Source organism: Homo sapiens, chromosome 3 (genome assembly GCF_000001405.40).
Source record: "Homo sapiens chromosome 3, GRCh38.p14 Primary Assembly".
NCBI lineage: Eukaryota > Metazoa > Chordata > Mammalia > Primates > Hominidae > Homo > Homo sapiens.
In genome coordinates this window covers 28,366,635-28,392,396 of record NC_000003.12, presented here as the reverse complement: position 1 = coordinate 28,392,396, position 25,762 = coordinate 28,366,635, and the positions used below count along the sequence as shown (strand labels likewise).

Genomic DNA, 25,762 nt, shown 5'->3' with positions numbered 1-25,762 from the left:
TTGTTGAAAGTGGGGTACTGAAATTCCCTACTACTATTGTATTCCTGTCTATTTCTGCCTTCAGATCTATTAATATTTGCCTTATATATTTAGGTAGTATGATGTTGGGTGCATATATATTTATGGATGTTATATCTTCTTGATGAACTGACTCTTTTATCATTATATAATGACCTTGTTTCATCTTACAGTTTTTGACTTAAAGTCTATTTTGTCTAATATGTGTAGCCCTGGCCTCTTTTGGATTCTGTTTGCATGAAATGTCTTTTTCCACACTTTCAGTCTATATGTCCTTAAAGCTGAAGTGAGTCTCATGGGCAGCATATTATCAGATCTTTCTTTAAAACAAATCCATCCAGCTACTCTATGTCTTTTAATTGGAGAATTTGATCCACTGACATTCAATGTAATTATTGATGGGTAAATAGCAAACAGTAAGTAAGGACTTACTATTGCCATTTTGTTAAATTTTTTCTGGCTGTTTTGTGGGTCCTTTGCTCCTTTCTTCCTGTCTTTCTCTAGGGGCTGGGGCATGCACTGGGTTGGGTGGGTGGTGGCCTGGTCCTGGGGTGGCAAAATAGTGGCTCCTTCTTAGGGGATGAGGGTGAGGGACCCAAAAGCATTTCCCTCTCTGGGTGTCTGCAGTGGCAATGTTATTGGTTACCTCAGTTGTGAAAGCTGTCAGTATCCTCTGTGGAGCAGAGCATTAGAGGTCATGCTGACAAACACTAAGAGGATTCCGTGAAAACTGCAAGGTGTCCATGGCTTCCACAGGGGCTGCCATGTGGTAGCATAAGCCACACTGCTGATACTAGTAGCCCCTGCCCTTCTTTTGTATCCCTAGCCATCTCCAGGCATTTCAGGTATGCCCATTTCTGCAATTATTCTTTCAGAATATTGTCTATTATTTGTTCCACTGCATTGCTGGATGTTGTTAATTGGACTCCTGAGCCCTCCCAGGGCTATTTTCATTCATGGGTGGCTGTCTCATTGGCTTTGTGTGTGTGTGTGTGTGTGCATGTGTGTGTGTGTGTGTGTGTGTGGCAGGGAGAGGGGACTGATGGAACTGAAGGCTGGAATCATGTAGTGCTCCATATTGCTGGCATGACTGCCTGCTATATCCTCTTCTATGTTCTTTTTAACCATGTATCAGACTACAAATTTCATCAGTCACCCTTTGATCACAACTGTGTCATTAAGTCTTGTTAGTTCTGAAGACTTGCTAAAAACCTTATCTACTTTGCAGTATGTGCTGGGCTTCAAGTTTATTCTATCTCCAATTCTTATGTAATCTCCCTTAACTTGAAAATAATTTTAGTCTAAAAGTTGTGCTTCTTGTCAATCATTAACATCCAGGACACTTCATCACCTTCAATCCCTATCTGGGGCCCTAGTCTAGCCTGGTACCTCTCATCTCTCATGAAAGATGCCTTTATCACTGTCTTTAAAACAAAAGACAGCAGATATGAATTCCCTTTGGCAAATGTTGATAGAGTGTTTCACTGTTCTTCCACCTAACCAACCCAAAATGATGTTATCCACTTCAAAGTCAGAAAGTGTAAGAAGATTCCACAACCTTCTAATTTGTGGCTAACTTTGGGAAAGTCATTTAACCTCCTAGTATTTTAATTTTATCTGAAAAATTATTATTTCATAGAGAAGTTATACAGGTGAATTTTTTTACATTTTAAAATTGCATATATGCAATAGAGAACAGTGATGGGAATAAAAATGCTTATGTACTAGAGAAAAACATTTTGGAGTTTCTCAAGTACTTACGGAGTTAGACTTTTCTTTTGTTCCTAGCAAAATTCCATGAAGAAAATAGACTCCAAAACTCCAGAGAAGGGAAGTGAGGTCTGTAGTCACTAAAGAGGCAGGCGTTCTACTGGGATGAATCTGAAGAAGTTATACATCAATCTAGCAAATTTAAAACTATATAATACCCACATTTTTAAAATAATAAAGAATTATTTGAAATTCTGATATATCACTGACAAAAGCATAAATTTGGTAAAAACTTTGGGTAGGAAATTTTGGAATTTGTAATAAGTACTTTTAAGACATACTCATATGGTAATAGTATTTCATCAATGTTAAGATGCTGATTTTGATAACTACATTATGGTTAAGTAATAATAAAAATAATTCTTTGTTTTTTGAAATACACCATGAAGTAGTAAGAGGGATCACATCCGCACTTTTACTCTGTGAAGATGATATTCTTTGTTGTGTTGCCCTCTCTGGCACTAGCAACTCACATCAAGAATGTGGGCTGACATTCCCATGGCCATCTGTAAACTGGGAAATGGAGGATGTCAAAAAAGGTTAATTTTATGTGTCAGCTTGGCTGGGCCATGGTGCCTAGGTATTTGACCAAACATTATTCTGGATATTCCTGTGAAGGTGTTTTCAGATAAGATTAACACTAAAATTGATGAACTTTGAGTAAAGCAGATTAACTTCCATAATGTGGGTGGTTCTCATTCAGTCGGTTGAAGGCCTTAATTACAAAAACACTGACATCCCTTGAGTAAGAAGGAATTTTACCAGAAGACTGACTTTAGACTCAAACTGCAACTCTTCCCTGAGTCTCCAGCCCACTGGCCTCCCCCATCAGAAACTGGACTTGCCAAGTATCCACAATTGCATGAGATGTATCCTTAAATCTCTCTTTATAAATATATCATGTCCTATTGGTTCTGTTTCTCTGAAGAACTCTAAGACAGATTCTGGTACTGGGAATTGTTCTAAAAGAACAAAATCTTAAGGATGCGTTTCCTAAATTGGTTCTGGGAATTCTGTAATTGGTCTCTGATTAGATTTAAAGACACTAATAACTCCATTTCCATTACTAAAGAGAGCAATTTTAGTCCATGGCATGATATGGCAATAGAGGTAAGCAAAATATCACCAATGGATGCTCCTAATTAAGCACTTATAAAAGCCAAGATCTGGGCAACCATGCATATAGTATCTTCAAACATTTTTGTCAAACTAATGAGTATAATGAGATTGGATGGTTCTTCCTCATGTTATTGGACAAAGTGATGGAAAAAAAAGAAAAAGGATGAGCTCAGGGACTCAAATTTCTAGCTCAAGTTCTCCATCAGTGATCTGAAAGCTTCTAGGTCTGCCCTGAAGGGGACCCTTATATCTTGTATCCATGAATCAAGGGGTGGCAATGGGAGTATCACTACTCACTATTACCCCTAGTGGCCCACTAGTAACATTTTTGCTTCCTGTTCCCAAGATGCCATGCTCTGTCGGCCTAGAGGTCTTAGTTCCAGAGGGAAAAATGCTTCCACTAGGAGACACAACAATGATTCCATTGAACTGGAAGTTTAGGCTGAGGGGCTCCTTATTGATCTAAATCAACAAAGAAGGGAGCTGTGATGGATCAGTTGATTGATCCTGACTTCCAAAAAGAAACTGGGATACTGCTTCACAATGGAAGAGAAACAGTATGTCTGCAATACAAGAGAAATCCTTTAGGGCATCTCAGTATTACCACGTACTGTGACTAAAGTTAAGAGAAAATTATAATAACCCAAAACAGGCAGGAGTACTTAATGGCCCACATCACTCAAGAATGAAGGACTGGGTTATCAGCTGAGATGCTGGCTGAAGGTGCAAAGAAAATACAAAATAGGTAGGGGCAGAAGGTGCCAGTTATGACTACATGACCAGTTACAGAAATGAGAATTTTAATTGTCATGAGTAGTTCTTCCTTATTTTATTATGAATATATGTGAGTATAAGCCAAATATCTTTGTTTTCTTCCCCTAATATCCCATTATCTTGTAATATAAGATATACTGACTTTATGTCATAGTATTTAAGTACTATTAACTTTACATCAAAGTATTTGTGTTACAGGATATCTAGGAAAAGGGAAAACATCACACATGGACTTTGCAACCTCTTCTGGAAAAAGGATTAGTGTGTTTTCAGTTGTATGCAACATAGTTGTATCATATTAGGCAAAAGTACGATCTTGTTAGAGTCTTTAGTGGCAGATTAAGTATTGTTTAAGGAGATGTGTATGGGTGTCAGGTTGACAAGGGGGGGACTTGTGATAGCTAATTTTATGTGTCAATTTGGCTAGGCCACAGAGCCCAGATATTTGGTCAAATGTTATTCTGGATATTTCTGTGAAGGTGTTTTTGGACGAGATTAGCACTAAAATCAGTGAACTCTGAGTCAAGCAGGTTGTCTTCCACAATGTAGGTGGGCGTCATCCATTCAGTTGAAGACCTTAATAAAAGAAAGACTGACCTGCCCCAAGCAAGAAGGAATTATACCATTAGACTGATTACCTTTCGGCTCAAACTGCCACTCTTTTCTGTCTCCAGCCTGCTAACCTACCCCACCATATTTTGGATTTGCCAAGCCTCTACAATCACATGAGCCAATTGCTTGAAATAAATCTCTCTCTATACATACACATTTTCTTGATTCTGTTTCTCTGTAGAACCCTGACTAATGAAGAAGGTAAGTGAAAATGCCATAAAACTCTCTTACTGAAATCTAGCAGCTTCCTTCTTTATTGCACACTCTTCTGGGTGTTACTAAGTTTTTGGTTAGATTCTAAAATTACATTCCAGAGCGCCAAAAAAGTCAATTCTGAAAGATTTTGCCAGTTTAATCATTGTTATAGTGGGCAGACAGCTTTTATTTTGAGTTTCCTATTCTGCCATTTTTTATGATATCACTGCAACTTATTCTTAAATTATTCCTCTTAAATGATTCAGATAGAGTAGATAGATGTACACAAAAACATAAAGATAAATAAAGCAAATCTAATAAAATGTTAATATTTGAAAAAACTGGATGTAGAGTAACTGAGAAGTCTTTCTACTATTTTTGCAGCTTTTCTGTAACTCTGAAATTATATGAAAATAAAACAATTTTTAAAGTGTAACTGTCTTGGAGACTGGTTTAAGACAGATGACTAAATACTTGCCAGAGCCTTCGCATCTCACTTCAAGTGCCAGGAAATTACAGAAGAGTAAATTTTCATATCTTCTAAAATATATAATTTTTTAAAAAAATAGTACCCTCAGATCTGTAGAAATGATGGGGAATCCTTCCATGAAAGAAGACAGATGGGAACAAAGAGAAGAAAACCATGTGCAGAACATGCACAGAAGAAAACGCCTACAAAGATGAGAGGTGGTCCAAGGGTTTGCTAAGCCTACAAGTGACAGATAGTGAATATTGGAGGGATCTGGGAAAACCAAGAGTGATTGGTTTGAGTATTGAAGTAACAGCATATAGGGTAATCTCTCTTTGGCCAAGAAAAAGCAACAGAGATGCCTGTTGCCAGGTAAAGCAGAGAGAGCTGATGCTGGGCGGAAGGGGGAAAACAGGACCTTCGGTAGTCTACTGATATTCAGGAGGAACAGGAAGTTTTTACTGCTCAGAAGAAGCTATTGGCTCACCCTATCCAGGAGTCTGCCCCACCAATTCTCCTTCTCCTTTTTGGAGAAAAACTAAAGTAAGCAGAGAACTCATAAACAGACTAACAATGAATCTAAAATACAGTTGATCACCCAATCACAAAAATCAAAGAGAAGAGCCAACAATAAAAGAGAAGAAACAAATCCAACAAGAGAAAACAGGTATCCTATAAAACATAGGCTTAATAAACAGTAGAGCATTTTAGAATATCTATAATCATATAACCTTAACTCATAAAAATAGAAATATAAAAGGCTATTTATTTTTAAAAGAATCAATACAATATCACAGATATTTTAAATTTGACCATCAAAATTGTTTAAATGGATAGGCTATCAAAATAATAAAAAATAAATATTAATGTGAGGCAAACTTTAGCTAATAATTTTTCATAGGATGCACCTTGAACTTTACAAAATGATGTATAAGAGAAATGAATAAACTAAAAAGCAAGGAAAAAACAAACACAATGAATCTATTAGTCTGCTTGGGGAGGAATAACAAAATATCACAGACTGGATAACTTAAACAACTTATTAATTTTCTTAGAGTTCTAGAAACTAGAAGTTCAAGGTAAAGGTTCTGGCTGATTTTGTTTCTGGTGAGGGCTCTCTTTCTGGCTTGCGGACTGATGCCTCGTTGCTGGATCCTCACATGGCTTTTCTTTGGCGTGTATGCAAGAAAAGAGGAAGTGAGTTTTCTGGTGTCTTTTCTTATAAGGGCATTAATCCTCCCAGATCAGGATACCACCTTTATGAACGCGTTTATTCCTAATTACTTTCTTAGGAGTTCCACCCCAAATTTAGCCATACTGGAGGTCAGAGTTTCAACATTTGTATTTAGGGGAGACTCAAACATTCAGTTTATAACAATCAACAAAAGCAAAAGCTGGTTCTTCAAAAAGAGAAAACAAATAAATTGTATGAGAAATATAACTATAGAAACAAAAATTTTAAAGTTGCTAAAGGATACAATGTATATATTTAACTCAAAAAAAAAAAAGCTTAAAAGCCAGATAAAGAGAGTGTAAGAAACAAGAAAATAAAAGGTTACGTTAATCTCACTTAGGAAAGTAGATTTTTAAAATCCTAACTAAAACAGTAAATCAAATCTGTTAGAATATTAAGAGAAAAAATTCACCATGGCCAAATAGGTAATAAGAGTAAGAATCAATTAATCCAAGAATGGTCCCCTGCAGGCTAGCCTCCCAAAGATATGATGTCCTACAAAGCTCCATAGAAACTAACTATGGCCCAGAGCCTACAGCAATCAATTTTGGTCAACCACAATGTTTGGATGCCACTGTCACCTTCAACCCTTATCATGCCAGAGAAGGAGCTGGTGCTAGTCTAATCATGTGTACTGATATGGTCAATCCTACTCTTATCTTGCACTATCTTAAAGCTGTAACCATAAGGCCTGGATGCAGTTGGGCTGGGACATCTCGTCAACCTTGAATATCCATGCTTTCAGAATAGTGCTGGAATAAAAGTTCTTCCACATCATACTGTATTCTGGCACCTGATCATGCCAGGGGATGAGGTGGTATTTCTCTAATTATTAATTAAAAGCTATACAGGCCAACAGTCAAGATCCCTCTAATGGAACTTCTCATATGGCCTTTAAAAATTGCTATGCACTGTCTGCTTCAGAGTGGGATGGTGTCACAGAGACTCACACTTTGAGCTATTGACCCCTGTCCCTTTGAGCTTTCTCCAGTAAATTAAATACTGTTTCAACAGGTCTGATATGTGCAGGTCTTGACTACTTGTCTTGTTTTCACGACATGCCACATTATGGATTAAAGAAGGAAAACCATATGATCATCTTAATATGTCCCCCAAAAGCATGAGAAATTCAACATCTATTTGTGATTCTTACAATAAAAAATAAAGTTTAATCTTAACCTAGCACCACTTATAAACATAAATTCTAGACTGACAAAACAGTATAAAATATGTATAATATTGAAGTAGAAATGTATGTAAAACACAAAAGTCATAAAAGAAAGATTGGCTGGCCGGGCACGGTGGCTCACGCCTGTAATCCCAACACTTTGGGAGGCCAAGGCGGGTGGATCACTTGAGGTCAGGAGTTCGAGACCAGCCTGGCCAACATGGTAAAACCCCGTCTCTACTAAAAATATAAAAAAATTAGCCGGCCGTGGAAATGGGTGCCTGTAATCCCAGCTTACTCAGGAGGCTGAGGCGGAAGAATTGCTTGAACCCAGGAGATGGAGGTTGCAGTGAGCCAACATGGTCCCACTGCACTCCAGCCTGGGTGACAGAGTGAGACACCGTCTCAAAAAAAAAAAAAAAAGAAAGAAAGATTGGTCAACTTGAATGTGTCAAGATTAAATCTTCTGTGTAACTAAAGGTACACTGAAAAATTAAAACCATAAAGTAAATTGAAAGGCAAGTAACCAGAATGAAATATTTTCAGTATACAGACACATGAATTAATACCCAGAATACATAGTCTGAAGTGAATGTACTCAGTAGAAAAGCTTCAGGAAAGCAGGGAAGCCGTAAGGTTGCTTTTCTTGTTTTTAGAATATTTTTAAAAAATTTTCTAGTAAGACTAATTTTATTTAGTATAAAAGCAAAAGTTTGACAAGCAGTATTTAATAACATAAAAAGTACAAAACAGATTTGTGATTTCTAACATATTAATACAAAGTGTATAAATACATATAACATATTCCATGGGTAGAGAAAGATGAAAGCAAGGAAAGAAGACTGTGGTTGGGTCTAGTAACAAATAAATAAACACAGAAGTAGAGATAATCCACATTATAGTATATTCTACTATTAATACCAGCAGAAATGTATTACCCAAATTTAAAATATGGAGGAAAATGATAATGGCTAGGGCTCTAGTAATATACCTCTAAAGCTGTGGGAGAGCCCAGGAAATTCACTACATGGTCTGTGTATATGGTGGTATGGAGCATATTGATTTTTTCTAAAAGGAAGAAATATTAAATTTTAAGTTTAGATGAATAATTATAAAATTACAGGGTACCCATACCATCCAATTTTTTAAAAATCCAGTTTTAAAAGTAAGCATTGAGTCACATTTTTATAAAATAGGCAAATGTTCTTCATTCATTATAAAAAGTGTGAACTGACTTTTTTCCCCTGAACTTTCAGAAAAGTGGCAAAAAGAGTACTTTGGTTTAGGTTCATGTGAGGGAGGCTTTTAATGAAAATTTTAGAATTGAAGAGGTCCACGTTCAGAATTCATTAATCACCTAACATCCCAATATTTAGAATGTCTTGACTTAAAAAGGCCACCCAAAATCCAGCCCACTCAGCTTTAACACACACCTCTTATCTTCTAGATTTTTTTTTTTACTTATAAAGTAGAAAAAAAAATATACCCTAATAGGTTAAACACACCAAATGCCCATTTTACACAGGTAAAACCTTCATAAAGGCTAATTGAATCCATAGCTAAAACTGCATTGTGCAGGTTTTCAGTGACATTGTCAGTCACATAATACAAATAAAATAGTTAACTATTTATATCCATGATAAGCCCACGGATAACAAGAAATGTAATCCAAGAAGCATTAACCTTTGCTTTGTGTCATATTTAAGACTTGCATGTTTTATTTTTCCAATATGTAACATTTAATAGAGTGTATTAGCTACTATGTGGTAATGCTTTGGTACTATTTGCATAGGTTCTTTCATCCTAAACATTTGCCATTTTCCCAAAAGGAACTGTGGTTCTGCTTTAGATGTCTTATATAAATTAAACACCTTATTGAGTATTAATATTGGGGAGATGACACAGGATGCAACATAGACAGTCAAGTTACCTCTGTATATTTAGGAATTACCCTCTCCTTCAAGGTATTTGCACTAGAAAGCTAAGTCTGCCCTGATTAATATTTCAATAGTACAGGGTTGAGTGATCAAAACCTTGGCAAAACCTTAATTCAGAATTGTTAACAAATACTGCTAGTGTCAATTCCATGTGATTTCATTATTATAAATTTATTATTATGAGGCAAAACAAGTATAGCCCGTCATCGTTGAAAATGCTTCAACTATTACTTCTTAATGTGGAAAGACTGAAACTAACATTTGTTTTACCATACAATTAATATAATATCTATGTACCCTGAAATTTCCTTAATTTTACTCATTAGGACAGGATTTTGAAAGACTTAAGGGCACTTTACAGAAGGATCCAGCTTTCCTATCAAAGACTCAGTATCTTAAATATTATATGTACCTTTTTTCTCTTTTATTAAACTAGATTAAGCTTTAGAGTTTGTGAAAATGGAGAAAATAACCAATAAAAGGATTCTATAAATTGTCTTTGGCACAATAGTAAGTATTCAAAACAAAAGCAAGAAAACCACTATTATCAGCTGAATTGTTTGCCCTCCTCTCCAAAAAAATTCACATGTTAAAGTTCTAATCTCCAGTAACTCAGAATATTACTCTACTTGGAGTTAGGGTCTTTAAAGAGGTAATTAAATTTAATGAGGTAATTAGGGTGAGCCTTAATCCAATATGTCTAGTGTCCTTGGAAGAAGAGGAAATTTGGACACAGACACATACAGAGGAAAGACTATGTGAGGACAGGGAGAAGATGGCCATCTACAAGCCAAAAAGAGAGGTCTGAAACAGATCCTTCCCTCATAGCTCTCAGAAGGGACCCATCCTGTCAACAGGGTTGATCTCAGACTTGATCTCAGGCTTCTAGCTTCCAGAATTGTGAGAAAATAAATTTCTCTTTTTTTTTTTTTTTTTTTGAGATGCAGTTTGACTCTTCTTGCCCAGGCTGGAATGCACTAGTGCAATCTCAGCTCACTGCAACCTCCACCTCCCAGGTTCAAGCGATTCTCCCGCCTCAGCCTCCCGAGTAGATGGGATTACAGGCATGCACCAACACACCCAGCTAATTTTGTATTTTTAGTAGAGATGGGGCTTCTCCATGTTGGTCTGGATGGTCTCGAACTCCTGACCTCAGGTGATCCGCCCACCTTGGCCTCCTATTGCTGGGATTAGAGGTGTGAACCACCACGCCTGGCCAAATTTCTGTTCTTTAAGCCAGCCAATCTGTTGTACTTTGTTACAGAAGTCCTAGCAAATTAATACAGCCACTTTATTGTTCCAAAATTTTGTTTTTGAGATAAGGGTTCTCTCTGTTGCCCAGGCCTGGGTGCAGTGGTGGGATCATAGCTCACTGCAGCCTCGAACTCCTGGACTCATGCAATCCTCCCACTCAGCCTCCTGACTAGCTAGGAGTACAGCCGTGTGCCACCATGCTCATCTAATTTATTTTATTTTTAGTAAAGACATAGTCTCACTGTGTCACCCAGGCTGGTGGTGTTCTAACATTCACATACGCAGTTGACCCTTGAATAACATAGGTTTGAACTGCATGGGTCCACTTACATGCAGACTTTCTTCCACCTTCATCATCCCTGAAACAGCAAAACCAACCCTCAGCCTACTCAACATAAAGACAGTAAGGACGAAGACCTTCATGATGATCCAGTTCCACTTAATAAATAGTAAATATATTTTCTCTTATGATTTTCTTGGTAACATTTTCTTTTTTCTAGGTTTATTGTAAGAATACAGTATACAACAGATATAACATACAAAGTATGTGTTAATTAACTGTTTATGTTATTGTTAAGGGTTTCAGTCAACAATAGGCTACTGGTGAAGTTTTTAGGGAGGCAAGCAATTCCTGCATAGTTTGGAACTTTGAGGAGGACAAATGAGTAAGGAATTTTATTTTCTATTAAATGAAGTACTTCCCCATCTGCCATCCTTTCAAGAGAATTCAGTAAAGACTTAAATTAATAATTGTTTTACTTTTCTGTATATATATATATATATATATATATATATACACCAAATATATATATATATATATACCAAATATATATATATATATATATACCAAATATATATATATATATATATACCAAATATATATATATATATATATATATATATATATATATACCAAATATATATATATTTGGTAAAGTTCAACAAAGTATATATATTTTAAACATAGCACATTATTAGGTAGAGAATAGACTTGTGGAAAAAGATAATGTTTTGGCCTTGGGTGGGAACAGAGCTTTGAAAAAAGTGGACTCATTCTGCATATGTTTCAGAGGTCAAATATGCAGGACTCACTGACATATTCCATGTAGGGAAAAATGGAAAGAGATTAATCAAGTTTGACTACTAAGATTTCAACCTAAATAATCAGATAAAAGTTAGTGACATTCATGTTTCCAGAAAAACTAAATGGTTGATTGTGTTGGACATTACTTAGAATTTTCAGGAATGAAGACAGAGAAGTTGCCATTGAATTTCAACATGGAAATCATTGACGACATGACAAGAGCAATGGCAGGTTTATAGTAAAGATGAAATTCTCATTGGAGCATGCTAAAGCATAATGATAAAGCAAGGAAATGGATAAAACAAATTCAGGTGATTCTTTGAGTAGTTGTTTCTGTTTGTTTGTTTGCACGTTTCTGTGGAAGTGAGGAAATGCAAAGAAAAGAGCAAGCTGGAAAATGTTGTGGGGTCAGAGCAAGTTATGACATACATTTATACGGGTGGTGAGGGGAAGGAGTCCAGCATAAAAAAAAATAAACTGGCCGGGCGTGGTGGCTCATGCCTGTAATCCCAGCACTTTGGGAGGCCAAGGTGGGCGGATCATGAGGTCAGGAGATCGAGACCATCCTGGCTAACATGGTGAAACCCCGTGTCTACTAAAAAAATACAAAAAATTAGCCAGGCATGGTGGTGGGCACCTGTAGTCCCAGCTACTCGGGAGGCTGAGGCAGGAGAACAGTGTGAACCCGGGAGGAGGAGCTTGCAGTGAGCCGAGATGACGCCACTGCACTCCAGCCTGAGCGACAGAGCTAGACTCCATCTCAAAAATACATAAACTAAAAAAATAAAAATAAAAAAATTAAACATTAAAAATAAAAATAAACTTGACTTACTTAATGTTTTTGTTCCAAGATTAGGTCTACTCCATTATAATTCACCTGTCCCTTTGACCCCCAAAACAGAAAGCCACCTTCTAAGAAACTTCTTGATATGTTACTTGAGCTACAAATGGTCACGTTTTTCTATTCTCTAGTTTTGCTATGGAAAAGGTTCTCATTTTTTTTTATTTAACAACTTTATTGTGAGATATAATTCACATTTCACAAAAGTCACCCATTTAAAGAGTACAATCATTTCCTTGTATGTCCTAAGTTCCTTAATTTTGCTCAAATAATGACTGGTGTTAATACATCCAGTGTAAAAAAAAAATGTTTTGGAAATAGAACAGAGAGGTATTTTCCTTCTAAACTTTTGTTTCAATGACCCATTTTAATGCAGAAGATATTTATTTTATAAAGGTAGATTTCAGAAAAACACACAGACAAACTTTCTACTTGTTGATATTCAGGAAAGAATTCACAGTAACATTCTTAAGGGCATTTTTTGCTGTTTTTTGTTTTAACCTCAGCAATTTTACCCTCATTCTATAGCACTTGTTTAAGGCTGTCTTTTTAATGTATTATTTCTCTTTTTCCTCTTGCATCCCCTCAGTGATTATTCTAAATCTTTTTCATTCTAGACCATATTCCTCATTCTCAAAAGATAAATTTTCCTCTGGCTTTACAAGGATATCTCCATCACTTCTCATCCAAATACATAAAAGCTTATTTAAAACTACTCTGTCACTGATTTGCTGCAGTCTCAGACCTTGATTCTATTTTCTTTGTTCTAGAACTTTTTCTTGAGGGTTTGCTATGAACCAGGTATAAAATGAAAAGGTAAATACAAGACCCCTCTCCACAAGTGATGATAAGTACTATTATGGGCCAAATATAGAATACTATGGAAGCACATAAGGCACACCTGATATTTTCAGGCAGTGTCCAGCTACCTGGGAGAAGTGATGTCTAAGTTAATCAGAAAGATAATAAGTAGGAGTCAGTATCCCTATTATATGCCTCAGCAATCTCCACTCCCTCTGCATACCACTTAACACATTGTATTATAGTTTATGTAGTGACATCCTCTACAAGACAAGTCCACTTAGGACAAGGCTCATATCTATCTTATTAATTGCTTTATCCCTAGCATCTAAATGAACACTCGTCAAAGAGAAGCACTGAATATTTATAAGGCATGAAACAATGAAAAAAATATAAACTTCAGAATTAGACTGGCTTAGGCAGTGCTGATATTCAAAATATTTAACAACAATCATGGCCATGTGTATCAGTTGAACATCATCCCTAGGTCTGGGCTTAAATTCTCACTTCGTTTCCTACAAGATTTTCAAATTAAGGCAAGTCAGTTAAATGATCTGAACATCTCTTTATCATATGTATATGTTGATGGTAATAATAGTTAATTCGTAGATAGTTTTAATGATGAAATTAAGCAGCATATGAAACCCATTTCAGTATCTGGGACACACTGAAGATATAATAAATGTTTGATTTACTTTCTAGACTGCTTTTAAGTGAGTTATATTTCTAGTTAGATAAGAAAATTAAAATGTGCAAAAACCAAAGTAGAATGAGAGCACTCTACTTTGTCTTTCATGATTTTTTTCAAGTGCTCAACAAATAATTATTTAGTTTTCTTCTAATCTTTAAACTACATTTATCTTTAATCTTCTCTATGATGTATATTTAACTTTCACTGTTCGTTCTTTTACCTAATTAAGAAATTTACGCTCCTATGTCAACCCTATACTTAATGATCCTACAAAAATTTATTAAGAGCCTGTATCTATGCAAAACTGTTATTATTCAGAGACTAGTTTATGCAGATACTGGTGGATAATTTCTGGCATAGCTCCAAGAAGCTTAATAAAGATCTTCTTTTGTAATAATACAGATAACTGATAGGTTTCATCCAAAGTCAGACATGAAGGTAGAAAGGACGAAAACAGCATACTGGCATATTTAATGGCTGGTGTCTTTTGCGGCAACTATATTCTGCTGTGCTAAATATTTTCAAGGGAAAAGTAAATAATTGGAAATTTGATAAATTGTGCTAAAATGCTAACTCCAAATCTTAATAATCAAGCTATATGCTTTAGGTCTACATTGAATGGCTGCCAATTTTATTCAGCATATTAAGACTTGTAAGAATAAAACAGATCTAACAAGACAGTTCAAATTAAGTTCTTCAGACTGTCTTCAAATACAGTCGCATTATAAATAAAAAATTATATGGATAGAATGAATCAGAATACAAAATTTAGACGGCTTAGTTACTTTTTCCTGCATGTGCCCATTCTCAATTGACCTTTGGATTTAAGTTATATTGTCATGGAAGTCATACAGCTGATTTATTTAAAGGTAAAATTTTGTTGCCCTAATGTGAAAAAAGTTTTTAATTCAGTTGACCACTTTCCTTAAACTATAATACACAAAAAATAGAATCTTGAGCTAATCTAATTAGAAAATTGTAACTTGACATTCAAATTGATTTATACATTGTCATTTACTTTCCTTGTTTTTGAAATAAATGTCATAATCCTAACAAAGAGTAATAACGTTCTTACTCTCAGTTCTAGTGAGAACTGCATAATGATTGTTTCAAGAATCACGACACAAATATTAAGAAAAGGACTCTACCACAAGTTTTAAAATTAGAATGTAAAAATGGAAGTAGTTTTAAATTGCATGATGCAAAAATGAAAGCATGCATCTTTAATGCATGACATATGAATCTGCAGAGTAAAACAACAGGTTGAGGATAGGAAAATTTGGAATTCTTTCTCTGGAAAGAAACAAAACAAACTAAAGGTCTCTAAAGAAATCACTAACAAAATACAAAAAAAAAAATCATCATGCAGTGAGTTCAATATTGGAAAAATATTTGTCTTCACTTTGAATTTCATTAGAACTGTCTAAATACATAACTAAGGAATAAAGAATATAATTTCAACCTCAAAACTAAAATCATGCCTATGCTTAAACAGTATGTTCACAATATATTGTTAAATAAAGAAAGCAAATTGTCCAGTTCTGTTTAAGATTACAGACTAATTAATTTATCTTTTCCTTCCATTAAAATTACACTTAAGACATAAAAGAGAAAAAAAGGTTAGGGAGTTATCAGTGAACAAAAGATTTCAACATACATTTTGCGACAAAAGTTACATCACCAAAATGGTGGAGTACAAGGAATCAAGCTTCACTTCTCCCTAAGAGAAAACTAAAAACAAATACCTTCTGCCAAGATTACGATGAGCAATATCCCAGAACTGAAATCTGAGGATGAAGCAATCCCTGTGTCCAAAGAGAAGTGAAAACACTGAGCAGACAGTATAGAGAATCAGACTTCTATGTTCATGACACTCCTCCCACAATCTGCCAGACATAGTGTGCTAGGAAAATTGAGTACAGAGACAAACCGCGAACTCTAGTACTGTAAGTTGGTGGTGCAATAGACTCATACCTCTAGAATGAAACTCCAAACATAAATCTATCCAAAAAATAGCTAGAGCAATCTGTAAAGATATGGGTAATATAAAAATATGTCAATACAATAATTAAAAGTCAAAATGTGAGAGGAATGGAGTTAAAGTGTAGAGATTGTTTTTTCTATTTCTTCATTATTTGTTTCTATTCTAAGATAAGCTGACATCTCCTTAAAATAACATCTATAAGATGTTTTTGTAAACTCATGATACCCACAACCCCAAAACCTATAATAGATTCACTAAAAATATCAAGTACCAGCAATCCCACTGCTGGGTATATACCCAAAAGAAAGGAAATCAGTATATCAAAAAGACATCGGTACCCCTATGTTTGCTGTAGCACTGATTACAATAGTTAAGATTTGGAAGCAACCTAACTGTCCACCAATAGATGAATGGATAAAGAAAATGTGGTACATATTCACAATGGAGTACTATTCAGCCATAAAAAAAAGAATGAGATCCATCATTTGCAACAACATGGATGGAACTGGACATTATGTTATTAAGAGAAATAAGTCAGGAACAGAAACACAAACATTTCATGTTTTTACTTATTTGTGTGATCTAAAAATCAAAACAATTGAATTCATGGACATAGAGAGTAGAAGAATGGTTGCCAGAAGTTAGGAACAGTAGACGGGGGATGGTAGGGGAAGTGTGGACAGTTAATGAGCACAAAAAAAAAAAATAGAAAGAATGAATAAGACCTACTATTTGACAGCACAATAGGATGACTATAGTCAATAATAAACTTAATTGTATTTTTTAAATAAAGAATGTAATTGTATTATAGGTAACTCAAAGGATAAATGCTTGAGATGGATACCCCATTCTCCATGGTATGCTTATTTCAGATTACATGCCTGTATCAGAACATCTCAGTTAACCCATAAATATATATACCTATGTACCCACAAAAATGTTTTAAAAATCAAGCAATGGATTAAAACATACTACCAGAGAGAATCACTTAACCCCAAAGAAAGACAGTAAGAAAGAATGAAAGGAAGAGAGGAGTTACAAAGCAACCAGAAAACAAGCAACAAAATGGCAGTAGTTAAGTCCTTACTTATCAATAATAACACTGACTAAATGAACTCAATTCTCCAATTAAAAGGCAGAGAGTGGCTGAATTAATAAAGAAACATGATCCAAATATATACAGCCTACAAGAAACTCACTTCAACTATCAAGACACATAGACAAAGTGAAGGGGTGGAAAAAGGTATTACATACAACTTGAAACAAACAAACAAACAAAAAACTAAAAAAAAAAACCAAGTAGTTATACTTACATCAGGAAAAATACAGTAAAAATCAAAGACTAAAAAGAGATGAAGAGGATCATTATATAATGATAAAGGCGTGAATTCAGCAAGAGGATTCAGCAAAACAATTATAAATGTCTATGCACCTACCACTGGTGCTCTCAAGTATACAAAGCAAATATTAAAGATCTAAAGAGAGAGAGAGAGAGACCGTAATATAATAATAGTAAGGAACTTTAACACCTCACTCTTGGTAACACACAGATCATCCAGAAAGAAAAATCAACAAAAATTAACGAAAACCTGTTAAGCAAATTCAGTAAAGTTGTGGATACAAAATCAACATACAAAAATCAGTAGCATTTATATATGCCAACGGTGAACAATCTGAAAAAGAACTCAAGAAAGCAATCCCATTTACAATATCTACAAAAAATATAAAATAACTAAGAATCAATTTAACCAAATAAGTGAAAGATCTATACAAGAAAAACCAGTTGAGGAAGAGAACACTGATGAAAAGAACATACAAAAAATGAAAAGACATCCCATACTCATAGTTTGCAAAAATTAATACCATTAAAATGATAACACTACCCAAAGCAACCTACAAATTCAATATAATCCCTATCAATCTACCAATGAGATTTTTCATAGAAATAGAAAAAGTAAACCTAACATTTATATGGAACCAAAATAGAGCCTGAAGCAATCCTGAGCAAAAACAACTAAATTGGCAGCGTCACATTACCTGAGTTCAAAATATACTATACAAAGCCAAAGTAACCAAAGCCACATAAAACTAGACCCATAGACTAATTAAACAGAATAGAGAACACAGAAATAATACCACCTATTTACACTCAGCTCATTTGTGACAAAGGTACTGAGAACATACACTGGGAAGAGGACAGCCTCTTCAATAAATCGTGCTGGGAAAACTAGATAACCATATGCAAAAGAATAAAATTAGTGTCCTATCACTCACCATGTACAAGAATCAAATCAAAATGGACTAAAGACTTAAATCTAGGATGTGAAACCATGAAACTACTATAAGAAAACATTAGGGAAATGCTTGAGGACATTGGTCTGGGCAAACATTTTATCGCATAAGACAGCAAAAGCACAGGCAACAAAAGCAAAAATAAACAAATAAGATCACATGAAGCCAAAAAGCTTCTGCATGGCAATCAACAAAGTGAAGAGACAACCTACAGAATGAGAGAAAATATTTTCAAACTATCCATCTGAGATGGGATTAATAACCAGAATCTATAGGGATCTCAAACAACAGCAAAAAACAAACAAACAAAAACAAACAAATCTAATTTAAAAATGAGCAAAAGATCTGAGTAGACATTTCTTAAAAGACATACAAATGGAGCCAGGTGCGGTGGGTCACACCTGTAATCCCAACACTTTGGGAGGGTGAAAGGGTGGATCACCTGAGGTCAGGAGTTCAAGACCAGCCTGGCCAAGATGGTGAAACCCCATCTCTACCAAAAATACAAAAATTAGCCATGTATAGTGGTGCACACCTGTAATCCCAGCTATTTGGGAGGCTGAGGCAGGAGAATCACTTGAACCTAGGAAGCAGAGCTTGCAGTGAGCCAGAGATTGCACCACTCACCACTGCCCTTCAGCCTGGGCAACAGAGCGAGACTCCATCTCAAAAAACAAACAAACAAACAAACAAAAAAAAACAACATACAAATGGCCAATAGGTATATGAAAAAAGGCTCAACATCACTAATCATCAGGAAAATGCAAATCAAAACCACAATAAGATATCATCCCACCCCAGTAAAAATGGCTTTTATTAAAAGGACAAAAAATAACAAATGCTGGTAAGGATGTGGAGAAAGGGGAACCCTCCTATTCTTTTGGTGGAAATGTGAATTAGTATAGCTGCTATGTAAAAGAGCATAGATGTCCCTCCAAAAAACTAAAGACTACCATATGATCCAGTAATCCCACTACTGGATACATATCCAAAAGAAAGGAAATCATTGTATCAAAGAGATAGCTTCACTCTCCTGTTTATTGTAGCACTATTCACAATAGCCAAATTATGGAATCACCCTAAGTGTCTATCAATGGGTGAATAGATAAAGAAAATGTAGGGGGTCTGTGTAGATAGATAGATATAGATATGGATATATAGATATAGACCATGGAATATTATGCAGCCAGAAAAAATGAATGCAATCATGTTTTTTGCAACAATAGGTGGAACTGGAGGCCATTATCCTAAGTAAAATAATTGAAACAGAAAATCAAATACCACAAGTTCTCGCTTGTAAGTGACAGCTAAACAATGGGTACACATGGAGCTACAGAGGGGAATAATAGACACTGGGGACTTTAAATACGGAGAGGTAGGGAAAGGGGTGAGGGCTGAAAAATTGCCTGTTGGATACAATGTTCATTATTCATGTGATGGGTACACTAAAAGCCAATACATCAAAGCTAGGCAATATATCTATCTATGCAACAAAACTGCACTTGTATCCTCTGAACTTATTAAAATAAAATAAAGGACAAGTTGCCAAAAAAGGTTGTAAATAATGCACAGAAAAATACTAGCAGAATGTACTTCAAAATGTATTAATATCAATGGCTACACTGTAGTTTTACTTTGCCAGTTGTTCAATAGGCACTTTTTAAACCTTTCTAATTGAAGAAAAAAAGTTATTTTTAAAAAGTTATTATTTCATTCCCTCATGAAATAATATTCAATCTTTAGATATTTGGGCTGTTAACATTTCATGATTTGCTTATTTTCCTTTTCTAAAAACACTGATGATTCTCTTAAGCTTCTAAAAACTTCCATGTCTTTATATCACAAAAAAAATACTATAGACTACGGTTCTTTAATATTATGGCTAAGTGAATATTTCACATAAATCTCTAACTACATCCAACAATCTTCATAATTATTGTCTTTTATCAATATAAGTCCTTCAATTACTATATTAATTGAATATAATTATGGTAGTATGAATTTTAGCAAGGTAATTAAAGTATGGAACCATTCTGCCAAGAACAAGATTAAGCCCATATTATTACAAGCAAAAAATGAAGAAAGGAGGAAGAAGGAGGAGGAGGGGCAGGAAGAGAAGGAGGAGGAGGGGCAGGAGGAGAAAGAGGAGAAAGAGGAGGAGCAGGAGGAGGAGGAGGAGGAGGAAAGAAGAAGGAAGAAGAAGAAGGAAGATGAAAGAACAAACAAAAGAGAAGAAGAAAGCAGGAGAAAGAGAAGAAGAAACTGGCAAAGACTCTCCCTTTGACTAAACTTTAATCAGGCTCCTCTAAGGCCTCTTTTCCCCTAGGCCTGGAGCATGACCACATCCGCCACCAACCCCCACCCACCCTGTCCTGTCTTTGGCCTCTGCAGCCCAGTCTTAGCAAAGAATCCTGTTAAGTTAGTTTACTGAGAGTCCTTCCATCCTTAATATTGATCAATCATTTATTTATTATTTATTTATTTGTTGGTTTGCTTGAGATGGGTCTTTCTCTGTTGCCCAGGCTAGACTGCAGTGGCACAATCATAGCTCCCTGTATCCTCAAACTCCTGGGCTCAAGTGATCCTCCCACCTTAGACTTCTGAGTAGCTGGGATTGCAGGCATGAGCCACTATACCAAGCTGATCACTCCTGATATTTGTTCAACTTCCTTTGATGTGTAACTCCTTGGCCTTTAGTAAGACTCTTATCAAGTCAATTTAACAAAATCCCCCTACACTTGATTTCTCCTCCCAGTAATTTTCTATCCACTGACCCCTTTACCATGCTCCTTGGCTGTAAATCCCCAGTTGTTCTTGTTTTATTCTGATTTCTCTCACCTATTACCATATACCTATTGCAACAGTCTTGGATAAAGATTTCCTTACCATTTTAACAAGCGTCAGAAAAATTTTTTCTTTAACAAAACTGGTAGAATGTTGTAATAAAATCAAGCAATAAGCATCAACACATAATTTAGGTAGAATATTTTACATGATTTACTCTCAAATGTATACATTTATCAATACTACGATAAATTTAAAGTCTAATATTCCAAACCTAAGAATGTTTGATGTTTAAAGGAAACATAACTCTGTAACTAATTATAGTTAAAAAAAAAATTTATTGGGCATGGTGGTTCACACCTGTAATCACAGCACTTTGGGAAGCTGAGGCAGGCGGATCACCTGAGGTTGGTAGTTCAAGACCATCCTGACCAACATGGAGAAACCCCATCTCTACTAAAAATACAAAATTAGCTGGGCATGGTGGTGCATGCCTGTAATCCCAGCTACTCAGGAGGCTGAGGCAGGAGAATTTCTTGAATCGGAGAGGTGGAGGTTGCGTTGAGCCGAGATTACACCATTGCACTCCAGCCTGGGCAACAAGAGCAAAACTCTATCTCAAAAACAAAAACAAAAACAAAAACCTTTATGAAAATTAGCAGAGTAAGTTCATGAATTATAACTGCATGGCTCAATGAATCATCACAAAGTGAATATAGTCATGTAACCAACATCCAGTTTAAGGATTAGAACATAAACACCACCTTAGATATCTTATAACCTCTCCCTAGTCACTACCGTCTTTCTTCTCCCCAATAGTAGCCATTATCATGACTTCTAATAGTTTTATTTGTCTGCTTTGATCTTCATATAAAGTATATCATAATGTATTCTTTTGTGCCCATATGAGATGCCTCCATGCTATTGCTTGTAGCTAGTTTATTAATTTTCATTCCCATAGAATATTCCATTATGAAAATATACCACAACTTATTTATCTATTCTAAAACTGCTAGCTATTTAGATCTCCAGTTTAGGGTTGTTATGCGACAATGAATGTTTTTTGGGGTGAAGCAAAGATGGCCAAATAGGAACAGCTCCAGTCTACAGTTCCCAGCGTGAGCGATGCAGAAGACGGGTGATTTCTGCATTTCCAACTGAGGTACCAGGTTCATCTCACTGGGGAGTGTCAGAAAGTGGGTGCAGGACAGTGGGTGCAGCGCACCAAGCATGAGCCAAAGCAGGGAGAGGCATCACCTCACCCAGGAAGCTCAAGGGGTCAGGGAATTCCCTTTCCTAGTCAAAGAAAGGGGTGACAGATGGCACCTGGAAAATCAGGTCACTCCCACCCTAATGCTGCACTTTTCCAACGGTATTAGCAAACAGCACACCAGGAGATTATATCCTGTGCCTGGCTCGGAGGGTCCTACACCCACGGAGCCTCGCTCATTGCTAGCACAGCAGTCTGAGATCAAACTGCAAGGTGGCAGCGAGGCTGGGGGAGGGGCCCCCACCATTGCTGAGGCTTGAGTAGGTAAACAAAGCAGCCAGGAAGCTCCAACTGGGTGGAGCCCACCTCAGCTCAAGGAGGCCTGCCTGCCTCTGTAGACTCCACCTCTGCGGGCAGGGCATAGCGAAACAAAAGGCAGCAGAATCCTCTGCAGACTTAAATGTCCCTGTCTGACAGCTTTGAAGAGAGTAGTGGTTCCCCCAGCACGCAGCTGGAGATCTGAGAACGGACAGACTGCCTCCTCAAGTGGGTCCCTGACTCCCGAGTAGCCTAACTGGGAGGCACCTCCCAGTAGGGGCAGACTGACACCTCACAATGGCCGGGTACTCCTCTGAGACAAAACTTCCAGAGGAATGATCAGGCAGCAACATTTGCTGTTCACCAATATCTGCTGTTCTGCAGCCTCCGCTGCTGATACCCAGGTAAAAAGGGTCTGGAGTGGACCTCCAGCAAACTCCAACAGACCTGCAGCTGAGGGTCCTGACTGATAGAAGGAAAACTAACAAACAGAAAGGACATCCACACCAAAACCCCATCTGTACGTCACCATCATCAAAGACCAAAGGTAGATAAAACCACAAAGATGGGGAAAAAACAGCAGAAAAACCGGAAACTCTAAAAATCAAGTGCCTCTCCTCCTCCAAAGGAATACAGTTCCTCACCAGCAACGGAACAACGCTGGATGGAGAATGACTTTGACGAGTTGAGAGAAGAAGACTTCAGATGATCAAACTACTCCGAGCTAAAGGAGGAAGTTCGAACCCATCACAAAGAAGTTAGAAACCTTGAAAAAAAATTAGACGAATGGCTAACTAGAATAACCAATGCAGAGAAGTCCTTAAAGGACCTGATGGAGCTGAAAACCATGGCACGAGAACTACGTGATGAATGCACAAGCCTCAGTAGCCGATTTGATCAACTGGAAGAAAGGGTATCAGTAATGGAAGATCAAATGAATGAAAGGAAGCGAGAAGAGAAGTTTAGAGAAAAAAGAATAAAAAGAAATGAACAAAGCCTCCAAGAAATATGGAACTATGTGAAAAGACCAAATCTACATCTGATTGGTGTACCTGAAAGTGACAAGGAGAATGGAACCAAGTTGGAAAACACTCTGCGGGATATTATCCAGGAGAACTTCCCCAATCTAGCAAGGCAGGCCAACATTCAAATTCAGGAAATATAGAGAATGCCACAAAGATACTCCTTGAGAAGAGCAACTCCAAGACACATAATTGTCAGATTCACCAACGTTGAAATGAAGGAAAAAATGTTAAGGGCAGCCAGAGAGAAAGGTCGGGTTACCCACAAAGGGAAGCCCATCAGACTAACAGCTGATCTCTCGGCAGAAACTCTACAAGCCAGAAGAGAGTGGGGGCCAATATTTAACATTCTTAAAGAAAAGAAATTTCAACCCAGCATTTCATATCCAGCCAAACTAAGCTTCATAAGTGAAGAAGAAATAAAATTATTTACAGACAAGCAAATGTTGAGAGATTTTGTCACCACCAGGCCTCTTGTAGGGCAGGCCTCTACAAGAGCTCCTGAAGGAAGCACTAAACATGGGAAGGAACAATCGGTACCAGCCACTGCAAAAACATGCCAAATTGTAAAGACCATCGAGGCTAGGAAGAAACTGCATCAACTAAGGAGCAAAATAACCAGCTATCATCATAATGACAGGATCAAATTCACACATAACAATATTAACCTTAAATGTAAATGGACTAAATGCTCCAGTTAAAAGACACAGACTGGCAAATTGGATAAAGACGCAAGACCCATCAGTATGCTGCATTCAGGAAACCCATCTCATGTGCAGAGATACATATAGGCTCAAAATAAAGGGATGGAGGAAGATCTACCAAGCAAATGGAAAACAAAAAAAGGCAGGGGTTGCAAGCCTAGTCTCTGATAAAACAGACTTTAAACCAACAAAGATCAAAAGAGACGAAGAGGCCATTACATAATGGTAAAAGGGATCAATTCAACAAGAAGAACTAACTATCCTAAATATATATGCAGCCAATACAGGAGCACCCAGATTCATAAAGCAAGTCCTTAGAGACCTACAAAGAGACTTAGACTCCCACACAATAATAATGGGAGACTTTAACACCCTACTGTCAATATTAGACAGATCAACGAGATAGAAAGTTAAAAAGGATATCCAGGAATTGAACTCAGCTCTGCACCAAGCGGACCTAATAGACATCTACAGAACTCTCCACCCCAAATCAACAGAATATACATTCTTTTCAGCACCACACAACACCTGTTCCAAAACTGACCAAATAGTTGGAAGTAAAGCTCTCCTCAGCAAATGTAAAAGAACAGAAATTATAACAAACTGTCTCTCAGACGACAGTGCAATCAAACTAGAACTCAGGATTAAGAAACTCACTCAAAACCACACAACTACATGGAAACTGAACAACCTGCTCCTGAATGACTACTGGGTACATAACGAAATGAAGGCAGAAGTAAAGATGTTCTTTGAAACAAACGAGAACAAAGACACAACATACCAGAATCTCTGGGACACATTCAAAGCAGTGTGTAGAGGGAAATTTATAGCACTGAATGCCCACAAGAGAAAGCAGGAAAGATCTAAAATTAACACCCTAACATCACAATTAAAAGAACTAGAGAAGCAAGAGCAAACACATTCAAAAGCTAGCAGAAGGCAAGAAATAACTAAGATCAGAGCAGAACTGAAGGAAAGAGAGACACAAAAAACCCTTCAAAAAATCAATGAAGCCAGGAGCTGGTCTTTTAAAAAGATCAACAAAATTGATAGACTGCTAGCGAGACTAATAAAGAAGAAAAGAGAGAAGAATCAAATAGAAACAATAAAAAATGTTAAAAGGGGGTATAACCACTGATCCCACAGAAATACAAACTACCATCAGAGAATACTATAAACACCTCTACACAAATAAACTAGAAAATCTAGAAGAAATGGATAAATTCCTGGACACATACACCCTCCCAAGACTAAATCAGGAAGAAGTTGAATCCCTGAATAGACCAATAACAGGCTCTGAAATTGAGGCAATAATTAATAGCTTACCAACCAAAAAAAGTCCAGGACCAGATGGATTCACAGCCGAATTCTACCAGAGGTACAAGGAGGAGCTGGTACCATTCCTTCTGAAACTATTCCAATCAATAGAAAAAGAGGGAATCCTCCCTAACTCATTTTATGAGGCCAGCATCATCCTGATA

The 25,762-nt window shown here is 36.5% G+C and overlaps 1 protein-coding gene across 4 annotated transcripts in view; it reads right to left on the bottom strand.

The window, feature by feature from the left end:
* The window catches only part of ZCWPW2 (zinc finger CW-type and PWWP domain containing 2), a 177,638-nt gene that overhangs the window by 133,962 nt on the left and 17,914 nt on the right, over positions 1 to 25,762 (bottom strand). Inside the window, exon 2 of one of the 4 annotated variants that reach the window (NM_001040432.4) lies at positions 1,780 to 1,899. The exons of the other annotated variants lie outside the window; for them this stretch is intronic. The gene's annotated coding sequence lies outside the window, so the exon portion shown is untranslated. The remainder of the gene's footprint in view (positions 1 to 1,779; positions 1,900 to 25,762) is intronic. 4 annotated transcript variants of the gene reach the window in all.